Below are 11,390 nucleotides of genomic sequence, written 5' to 3'. Positions count from 1 at the left end.
GACGGGTAGGCTGTTATGTTTTCAGGGTGTGCGGTGTTTGTTTGCTGTTTGTTTTTACAGCTAATAATTCTGAACAAAACCAAAGCACATAAGCAATCTCAGCAGGAGATAAACTAAGCTGTCATAGAATCATAGTTTCAGTTATTGCATTAATCAGCATTAACTTCATGTAAAACTCGACAAAAAAGAAAAACGTTTGAGCTCCACCTTGTGGTAGCATATCTGAGCCAAGCTCATGTCTCAGGTTCTTTGTGCAGGAAAAGCATGTCTTAGTGAGCCCGCAAAAAAACCCTGCATTATTTAAAGAAGAAGAAGACTAGGAAAGCTTTGAAAAATTGTTCCAGAATGTGCAAATAAGGGCTGCTTATTTATAGGGTTTCTAATATTAGAAATATCACAGTGTACACTGATGGCCCTGGGACAGCATCCTGCCAACAGATGGTGTGTGTGTGTGTGTGTGTGTGTGTGTGTATGTGCGCGCGCGCGTATTAATTTGTGCTAATTACTAACATTTAAATATTATAGTATGTGACATAAAAATCAAGGTTTCCAGCTTCTCTTTAGACACCAGAAGATCTGGGAGCCCTGCGTCTGCAATAATTAGCTAGAACTGAGCATTGGATGCCCCCTAAAGATAGTGAATGTTGTCTACATTTTATTGGCTATAAACCGACAGAGGAGGCAACACAGAAGTGGCAACGTGCATATCTGTCAATACTTCTCCATCTTCACTGTACCCCATAACCTCACCCAGACGACCTAGGCAAGACACCATGAGCACACTGCCTGCTGTTTGAAACAACACAGAAAACCTGGTGTGTCATTGCTCTCAAACAACTTTTATTTTTAAAGACCTTTATGTTGCTTTGCTAAAAAAGTAAAATAAAAACTTTCCTTGATCTCACTGGCCTTATCAACATTAAGATCCCAAATGTTATCGCACCCACATTTTGAGTCCTAGACATTGGTACTATGCAAAATCTCATCTGATTATGTCTGAGAGTCCATAGTTTATGAATTGATCTATTCAGGCTGTCTCACTGTGTGGCCTGCTCTGTTCTCTTATTTCACTCCTTCAAGCCAATACCTGAGAAGTGCCTGCTGTGCCTGTCATGAGTTTAGCAGACTCCTTTGAAGTGGGCTATCACCAGTGCTCCCCAAACAGACAGCTGATGGTAGTATCACAGTGTTTTTCTACCCCATTCGCAGGTGGACTTGCAGGGCTTTATTTCCCGAGAACCAAAAGTGCGCTACATGTACTCCACCGTCTCAGAATCCCCACTCCATGAACAGCTCCACTGGATTCTGGCTGCAGTCTCTATCTGTCCCCACTGTACTCTAATCTCATCCATTCCCCTTCCCTTCTCCTACTTCCTCAAAGGCTACATCTCTGCATAGCCATGCAAATCAACTGCTGCAGTCAGATGGAGGGGGAGCCACCAACACTATCTACTTATCAGAAATTTCCCAGAAGATCTGAATTCTAGATCTGGGTATGATTTAATTGGAACTCTCACTAAAACTTATTTCATAAACTCAGAGAATTCTTAGAACAACACTGCCCAATAGAGATGAAATGCACACGACAAATGCAAGCCACATGGCATCTTAACTTTCCTAGTGACCACATTAAAAAAGAAACAGGTCAATTAGTATTAGTAATATATTTTACTTAGCCAAATATATTCAAAATAGTATTTTTTTAACATGTAAGCACAATGAAAAGATATTAATGATACATTTTACATTAGCTTTTTCCTATGGAGTCTTCCAAATCCAGCGTATATTTTACATCTCCATTTCCAGCCATGTTGCATGTGCTCAATAGTCACATATGGCTAGTGGCTGCCATATTGGACAGCTCAGGTTTACAGCACAGGAAGAAATTTTAGAATCATGTTATGCAACCTCCTTGTCTTACAAATAATTGAGACTTGGAGAGGTTACATAATTTCCAACAGGTCAAACAACTAATCAGTAGCAGAGACAGGCCTGAAACACTGGGCCATTAATGCTCAATCACATGCATTTCTATTCATTTAATCCTGCTTATCTTAAATTTGTGAAGCCAGTCTACTATTAAGACATTACCATCTAGAAACAACTAAGAATGTACCAAAATAATCCAAAGAGTTGTTTTTATTGGATATATAAATGATTAGGTTTTTCCAGTTGGGGGAAACCTTCTTTAAAAATAATTAAAATAATTTTTCATTAATAACTTTCTGAATTAGATCAATTAAAGTAATTCTTTTTTTTTTTTTTTTTTTTTTTTGGAGACAGAGTCTTGTTTTGTCACCCAGGCTGGAGTGTAGTGGTATAGTGGCACGATCTGAGCTCACTGCAACCTTCGTCTCCCGGGTTCAAGCAATTCTTCTGCCTCAGCCCCCCAAGTAGCTGGGACTATAGGCACCCACCACCATGCCTGGCTACTTTTTTTTGGTAGTTTTAGTAGAGATGAGGTTTCACCATGTTGGCCAGGCTGGTCTTGAACTCCTGACCTCAGATGATCCGCCCGCCTTGGCCTCCCAAAATGCTGGGATTACATGTGTGAGCCACGGCGCCTGGCCAGATCAATTAAAATAATTCTAAATGTTTAACTACAGTGTGACTAAATTTTTTTAAATAAAAATATTTGATTGACAGAAAAGTGGAATTGTGGGTAATGTGTATCTAGCCTTTAAATACGTGCTAAATGCACTGCTCAGTGGTTTTCAGCATCATCTCATGTAATCCCTTCAGAAACTGCAGTGGAGATGATTATAGTCCATTTTAAAGATGAGGTCAATGAAGCTTGGTGAGTGCAATTAGCCCATGTCAAAAGGATAATAGTTGTAATACAAACATCACATGGCTAGCAAGTGACACTTGCAGTCAGGAACAGAACCCATACTCGTACCTTGGCTGTGACTCTCAAGCCAATGCTCCTTCCCCCACCACTTAGCCACCACAATTACCTTGTAGTCTATTAAGCTGAGGTATATGGAGCATTTTCTGTGACGCAAATGCAATAGGCTGAGTATTTTCACTCAGTATTATCTGTTATTCCACTAGCGACAAACATCGCCCATGGAATCAACTCATTGCATATTTTGTCAAGACCAGTTGTAATTCCAGCCCATGGTTCCTTTTGCAGTAGGCTCATTTGTCATCTGCTGAGGGGCTATTCCATGGTCATTTATGCAATATTGAATTCCACTACAAATGTATTTATTAATTCCACGGCCACCTTGCCCTTCAGACCTGTTACTCTATTTTTCAGGGTTATCCTCACACCATGCACAGCAATGTGACATCACATCAAATTTTTCTTCATGAATGTTATACAGTTTGACCGCCTTAACACATAGATTTATTCCTAAAAATTTGTACCAAATTAATTTTCCCCATTTACTTCTGCCATTAAATCTGACCTATATCAATACTGGAAAAAAGGTTTGATTCCAAAAGAAAAAAAAAAGATTTAGGATTTTAGCATTCAGTTCAATGACACTGTTGACTCACAGTTCTTATGCATTTAGCCCATGTATATAATTACTGCAAGATACTAACCATGGCTATAGAACCCTACACTCTAATTATGAAAATATAATCATTACAAATTGCTAATTCCATGGCTGGATTACATAATAGAATAAGTAAGCAGTTGTTTAGAGAATCAGCAAAGCAGTTTTTTTTTTTTTTCCGGAAAGAAACATCTGACTTCAGTATGCATGTATGTTTAGTGTTGTTAGGCTTTTAAAAAAAAATAGAAATGGGGTCTTGCTTTATTGACCACACTGGTCTCAAACTCCTGGCCTCAAGTGATCTTCACACCTTGGCCTCCCAAAGAGCTGGGATTAGAGGCATGAGCCACTGCACCCAGCTTGCTAATATACTTTGTTTTAAATTAGATGTTGGAGAGTACCATGATATTTGCAGTGTTCAGTCCTGTAAAAGTCATGATCAGGCTTTGCCTGATTCTCATTTCAATGGTATTTTCAAGTGCTTCACAGAGTTTATATGTATGACCAAGCAGAGAAATTAATTACATCACAATGCAAATATTTAGAACTCCATAAAAACAAGGATGACAACTTTAACTATTATTGAGCACTATGTGCCAGGCATAGTGCTATGTACTTTGCATGCATTATCTCATTTAATCCCAAATGAAAACTTTATGAGGTAGGACTGTTATTATCCCCATGTTTAGAGGCAAGAAACACAAGATTTTGAAAGGTTGAGTAATTTTCTTAAAGTCACATGTCAGTTTTTGCCTGCTTTAAATGATCATGAACATTCCCATTTTGGAGGACGTGTGATTGGCTAATATATAAACCAAAAAATCCAAGCATACAAAAAATCCAGGCATACTCAATACAAGAAAGAGGAAACAAATAACAAAATGAATAATATTCTGGCAACTTCTAAGCTGCAATATTGAAGAAAACAATAGATAACTTCTGCAGCTCCATTTGAACACATTGTCCACTAATATTGCAGGCTAGCACTGAGCCCCAAGCCCAGCTGAGCCAATCAGATATGTTGCTATAAACCTATGCTAAATGAGAATGAGCCGGATAAGTTTATACAGCATCTAGCTCCAAAAGGCCCAAAGGTTTTCAGAGACCCCAGCAGTTGTATTGGACAATTTCTTTTTTAGTTGCAAATATTTTGTTCCTACTTTCAGTAGAAACAATACCACACAGATAATAAAGCTAGGAAGCTCTAACTTTTGACCTAGTGTTCTGTTGAGTACAATGTTATCCTCCTCTCCAGGTTCTGAGCTGAAAAGTAACTCTAGGATCTTCCAAATTCTCATCCATGGTTTTTCCGCCTGCAGCAATGGGAAGGTCAACTAATTTGTGCCTGCTTCCATTTCTTTCTATATAAAATAAGCATAATTATATTCTATCTTAATGGAGATCATAAATTTAGAACTTGCTTTGTCTTTAAAGATAATGCATCTAAAATAGCTACCAATAATTATTTGGCAAATTGGAGAAAGTGTTTTTCCTGTCTGGAGCACTAAACAATCTCTTAATTCTCCTTCCAGTTTATCGTCATCACTCCTTAGATATAATGTGTTGGCTGTTACAGAATATTTTGGTGTAACTAAAGGAAAGTCAACTCAGAAGATGGACTATAATAATGTGGTCTTATACTGTCTATACCTTTTCATTCACTACTCTTAAATATTCCCTCAGTGATGGTTTTGGTGATAAGGAAATAATTGAACCTGATCAGTTATTCTCGGATGATTTATGAAGAGTCACAATTTTAGAGTTTTCAGGGAACATGGATATTCTAATCTGCTTTCGTGACGGTATTTTTCCCTTAAAATTCCCTTAATGTTGGCAAAATCTGAAGATGGCCAGTTAAGGCTTTCAGCAGCTAAATCACCCTGTGAATTCAAGCTGGATACATTGAATATGTCATGATCCACTTGACATTATCAATTACTAATTTGATACATTATGGATGATTCTATGGCTGTATTTGAATTTAGGTTTCTATTAGTTTATATATGATGCAAAGTGAATGATCCAGAAAAGAATTGACTGGAATCTTACCAGTGATAGAAAAGATGCCAAGGTCATGCCACCCCGTCTGGGAAGTGAGGAGCGTCTCCGCCTGGCCACCCATCGTCTGGGATGTGAGGAGCCCCTCTGCCTGGCTGCCCAGTCTGGAAAGTGAGGAGCGTCTCTGCCCGGCGGCCATCCCATCTAGGAAGTGAGGAGCGCCTCTTCCCGGCCGCCATCACATCTGGGAAGTGAGGAGTGTCTCTGCCCGGCCGCCCATCGTCTGAGATGTGGGGAGCACCTCTGCCCTGCCGCCCCGTCCGGGATGTGAGGAGCGTCTCTGCCCGGATGCCCCGTCTGAGAAGTGAGGAGACCCTCTGCCTGGCAACCGCCCCGTCTGAGAAGTGAGGAGCCCCTCCGCCCGGCAGCCGCCCCGTCTGGGAAGTGAGGAGCCCCTCCGCCCAGCAGCCACCCCGTCTGGGAAGTGAGGAGCGTCTCCGCCCGGCAGCCACCTTGTCCGGGAGGGAGGTGGGGGGGTCAGCCCCCCGCCCGGCCAGCCGCCCCGTCCGGGAGGGAGGTGGGGGGATCAGCCCCCCGCCTGGCCAGCCGCCCCGTCCGGGAGGTGAGGGGCACCTCTGCCCGGCCGCCCCTACTGGGAAGTGAGGAGCCCCTCTGCCCGGCCAGCCGCCTGTCCGGGAGGGAGGTGGGGGGGTCAGCCCCCCGCCTGGCCAGCCGCCCCGTCTGGGAGGTGAGGGGCACCTCTGCCCGGCCGCCCCTACTGGGAAGTGAGGAGCCCCTCTGCCCGGCCAGCCGCCTGTCCGGGAGGGAGGTGGGGGGGTCAGCCCCCCGCCCGGCCAGCCGCCCCGTCCGGGAGGGAGGGAGGTGGGGGGCTCAGCCCCCCGCCCGGCCAGCCGCCCTGTCCGGGAGGTGAGGGGCGCCTCTGCCCGGCCGCCCCTACTGGGAAGTGAGGTGCCCCTCTGCCCGGCCACCACCCCGTATGGGAGGTGTACCCAACAGCTCATTGAGAACGGGCCATGATGACAATGGCGGTTTTGTAGAATAGAAAGGCGGGAAAGGTGGGGAAAAGATTGAGAAATCGGATGGTTGCCGTGTCTGTGTAGAAAGAAGTAGACATGGGAGACTTTTCATTTTGTTCTGTACTAAGAAAAATTCTTCTGCCGTGGGATCCTGTTAATCGGTGACCTTACCCCCAACCCTGTGCTCTCTGAAACATGTGCTGTATCCACTCAGGGTTGAATGGATTAAGGGCGGTGCAAGATGTGCTTTGTTAAACAGATGCTTGAAGGCAGCATGCTCCTTAAGAGTCATCACCACTCCCTAATCTCAAGTACCCAGGGACACAAACACTGCGGAAGGCCGCAGGGTCCTCTGCCTAGGAAAACCAGAGACCTTTGTTCACTTGTTTATCTGCTGACCTTCCCTCCACTATTGTCCTGTGTCCCTGCCAAATCCCCCTCTGCGAGAAATACCCAAGAATGATCAATTAAAATAATAATAATAATAATAATAATAAAATAAAATTAAAAATATATATATATATTATTCTTTTTTATTTCAATAGGTTTTGAGGCACAGGTGGAGTTTAGTTACAAGGATAAGTTCTTTAGCGGTGATTTCTGAGATTTTGGTGCACCTATCACTCAAGCAGTGTACACTGTACCCAATGTGTAGTCCTTTATCCCTCAACCCCCTCCCACCCTTTCCCCTGAGTCCCCAAAGTCCATTGTATCATTTTTATTACTTTGTGTCTTCGTAACTTAGCTTCCCCTTATGAGTGAGAATATACGATGTTTGATTTTCCATTCCTGAGTTAGAATAATGGTGTTAGAATATAACCATTATTGGTCTCCAATTCCATCCCATATGTCATTTCTTTTTATGGCTGAATAGTATTCCATGGTGTATGTACACCTAATTTTCTTTATCCACTGGTTGATTGATGGGCATTTGTGCTGGTTCCATAATTTTGCAGTTGCAAATTGTGCTGCTATAGGCATGCATGCGCAGGTATCTTTTTTGTATGACTTCTTTTCTTCTGGGTAGATACCCACTAGTGAAATTGCTGTATCAAATGGTAGATCTACTTGCAGTTCTTTAAGGAATCTCCACACTGTTTTCCATAGTGGTTGTGCTAGTTTACATTCCCACCAGCAGTGTAGAAGTGTTCCCCTTTCACCACATCCCTGCCAACATCTATTATTTTTTTATTTTTATTTTTATTTTTATTTAGGCCATTCTTTCAGGAGTAAGGTGGTATCGATTGTCGTTTTGATTTGCATTTCCCTGATAGTGATGTTGAACATCTTTTCATATGTTTGTTGGCCATTTGTATATTTTCTTTTGAGAACTGCCTGTTCACATCCTTAGCCCACTTTTTGATGGGATTGTTTTTATTGTTTTTTTTTTTGGTTCTTTTGTTTTTTTTTTTTCTCGCTGATTTGTTTGAGTTTCCCATAGATTCTGGATATTAGTCCTTTGTCAGATGCATATTTTGTGAAGATTTTCTCCCACTGTGTGGGTTGTCTGTTTATTCTGCTGATTATTTCCTTGCTGTGCAGAAGCTTTTTAGTTTAATTAAGTCCCACCTTAAAAACAATTTATCCTTGTTTTGTTGAATTTGCTTTTGGGTTCTTGGTCATGAATTCTTTGCCTAAGCCAATTTCCAGAAAGGTTTTCCCAATGTTATCCTCTAGAATTTTTATTGTTTTGAGTCTTAGATTTAAGTTTTTCATCTATCTTGAGTTGATTTTTGTATAAGGTGAGAGACGTGGATCCAGTTTCATTCTTCTACATGTGGCTTGTCAATTATTCCAGCACTATTTGCTGAATAAGATGTCCTTTCCCCATTTTATGTTTTTGTTTGCTTTGTTGAAGATCAGTTGGCTATAAGTGTTTGGACTTATTTCTGGGTTCTCTATTCTGTTCCATTGGTTTATGTGCCTATTTTTATACTAGTGCTATGTTGTTTTGGTGACTATAGCCTTCTGGTATTCTTAGAAGTGGAGGAATGTGATTCCTCCAGATGTGGTTTTTGCTTTTGATTTTTTGTTTGTTTGTTTGTTTGTTTTGCTTAGTCTTCCCTTGGCTATGCAGGCCCTTTTTTAGTTCCATATGCAATTTTGGATTTGTTGTTGTTGTTGCTGTTCTCTGAAAAATGATAGTGGTATTTTGATGGGAATTGCACTAAATTGGTAGATTGCTTTTGGCAATATGGTCATTTTCACAATATTGATTCTACCCATCGATGACCATGGGATGTGTTTTCATTTGTTGGAGTGTTGTCTATTATTTCTTTCAGTAGCATTTTGGAGTTTTCCTTGTAGAGGTATTTCATCTCCTTGGTTTGGTATATTCCTAAGTATTTTATGTTTTTTGTGGCTATTGTAAAAGAGTTTGAGTTATTGATTTAAATCTCAGCTTGGTTTCTGTTGATATATGGCAGTACTACTGATTTGTGTACATTAATTTTGTATCCTGAAACTTTGCAACAGTTTGACTTCTTCTTTATCAATCTGAATGCCCTTTATTTCTTTCTCTTATCTGATTGCTCTGGCTAGGACTTCTAGTACTATGTTGAATAAAAGTGATAAAAGTGGGCCAGCCGCAGTGGCTCACACCTGTAATCCCAGCACTTTGGGAGGCTGAGGTGGGCAGATCACGAGGTCAGAAGATCGAGACCATCCTAGCTAACACAGTGAAACCCCGTCTCTACTAAAAATACAAAAAATTAGCTGGGCATGGTGGCAGGCACCTGTAGTCCCAGCTACTCAGAAGGCTGAGGCAGGAGAATGGCATGAACCTGGGAGGCAGAGCTTACAGTGAGCCGAGATCATGCCACTGCACTCCAGCCTGGGTGACAGAGTGAGACTCCATCTCAAAAAAAAAAAAAAAAAAAAAAAGTGATGAAAATGGACATCCTTTTCTTGTTCCAGTTCTCAAGGGGAATGCTTTCAATTTTTCCCCACTCAGTATATGTTGGCTTTGGGTTTGTTGTAGATGGCTTTTATTACTTTAAGGTATGTCCCTTCTATGCTGAATTTGCTGAGTGTTTTAATCATAAAGGGATGCTGGATTTTGACAAATGCTTTTCTGCATCTATTGAGATGATCATGTGACTTTTGTTTTTAATTCTGTTTATGTGGTGGATCACATTTATTGACTTACATTACTAAACCATCCCTGCATCCCTGGTATGAAACCACCTTGATCATGATGGATTATCTTTTTGATATGCTGTTGGACTCTGTTAGTTAGTATTTTGTTGAAGATTTTTACATCTATGTTCATCAAGGATATTGGTCTGTAGTTTTCTTTTTTGTGATACCCTTTCCTGGTTTTGATACTAGGGTGATAATGGCTTCACAGAATGATTCAGAGAGGATTCTCTTTCTCTATCTTGTGAAATAGTGTCAATAGGATTGGTACCAATTCTTCTTTGAATGTCTGATAGAATTCAACTGCGAATCCCTCTGGTCCCGGACTCTGTTTTGTTGTAATTTTTTAAAATAACATTTCAATCTCACTGCCTATTATTGGTCTGTTCAGAGTTTCTATTTCTTCATGGTTTAATCTAGGAGGGTTCTATATTTCCAGGAATTTATCCATCTCCTTTAGGTTTTCTAGTTGGTGTGCATAAAAGTATTCACAGTAACCTTGAATAATCTTTTGTATTTCTGTGGTATTGGTTGTAGTGTCTCCTGTTTCATTTCTAATTGAGCTTGTTTGTATCTTCTCTCTTCTTTTCTTGGTTAATCTTGCTAATAGTCTATCAATTTTGTTTATCTCTTCAAAGGACCAGCTTTTTGTTTTATTTATGTTTTGTATTTTTTGTTTTAGATTCCTTTAGTTTGCTCTGATCTTTGTTATTTCTTCTCTTTTGCAGGATTTGGATTTGGTTTGTTCTTGTTTCTCTAGTTCCTTGAGGTATGACCTTAGAATATCTATTTATGCTCTTTTAGACTTTTTGATGTAGGCATTTAATGCTATGAACTTTCCTCTTAGCACTACTTTTGCTGTATCCCAGAGGTTTTGATAGGTTGTGTCACTATTATTGTTCAGTTTAAAGAATTTTTTCATTTCCATCTTGATTTTATTCTTGACCCAACAATCAGTCAGGAGCATGTTGTATAATTCCCATGTATTTGCATGGTTTTGAAGGTTCCTTCTGGAGTTGATTTCCAATTTTATTCCACTGTGGCCTGAGAGAATACTTGGTATAATTTTGATTTTCTTAAATTTATTGAAGCTTGTTTTGTGGCTTATCATACGGTCTATCTTAGAAAATGCTCCACATGGTGAGGAGTAGAATGTATATTCTGCAGTTGTTGGATAGAACGTTCCGTATATGTCTGTTAAGTCTATTTGTTCTAGGGTATAGTTTTAAATCCATTGTTACTTTGTTGATTCTCTGTCTTGATGACGTCTAGTGCTGTCAGTGGAGTATTAAAGTCCCCCACAATTATTGAGTTGCTGTCTATCTCATTTCTTAGGTCTAGTAGTAATTGTTTTATAAATTTGGGAGTTCCAGTGTTAGGTGCACATATATTTAGGATTGTGTCATTTTCCTGTTTGACTAGCCTTTTATCATTGCATAATGTCCGTCTTTGTCTTTTTTAACTGTTGTTACTTTAAAGTCTGTTTTGTTTGATATAAAAATAGCTACTCCTGCTCACCTTTGATGTTCAATTGCATGGAATATCTTTTCCTACCCCTTTACCTTAAGTTTATGTGAGTCCTGTGTTACGTGAGTCTCTTGAAGACAGCAAATACTTGGTTGGTAAATTCTTACCTCTTCTGCCATTCTGTATCTTTTAAGTGGAGCATTTAGGCCATTTATATTCAATGTTAATATTGAGATGTGAGGTA

This window comes from Homo sapiens, chromosome 9 (genome assembly GCF_000001405.40).
Source record: "Homo sapiens chromosome 9, GRCh38.p14 Primary Assembly".
NCBI classification, from domain to species: domain Eukaryota; kingdom Metazoa; phylum Chordata; class Mammalia; order Primates; family Hominidae; genus Homo; species Homo sapiens.
Note: the sequence above shows the minus strand (reverse complement) of the source record.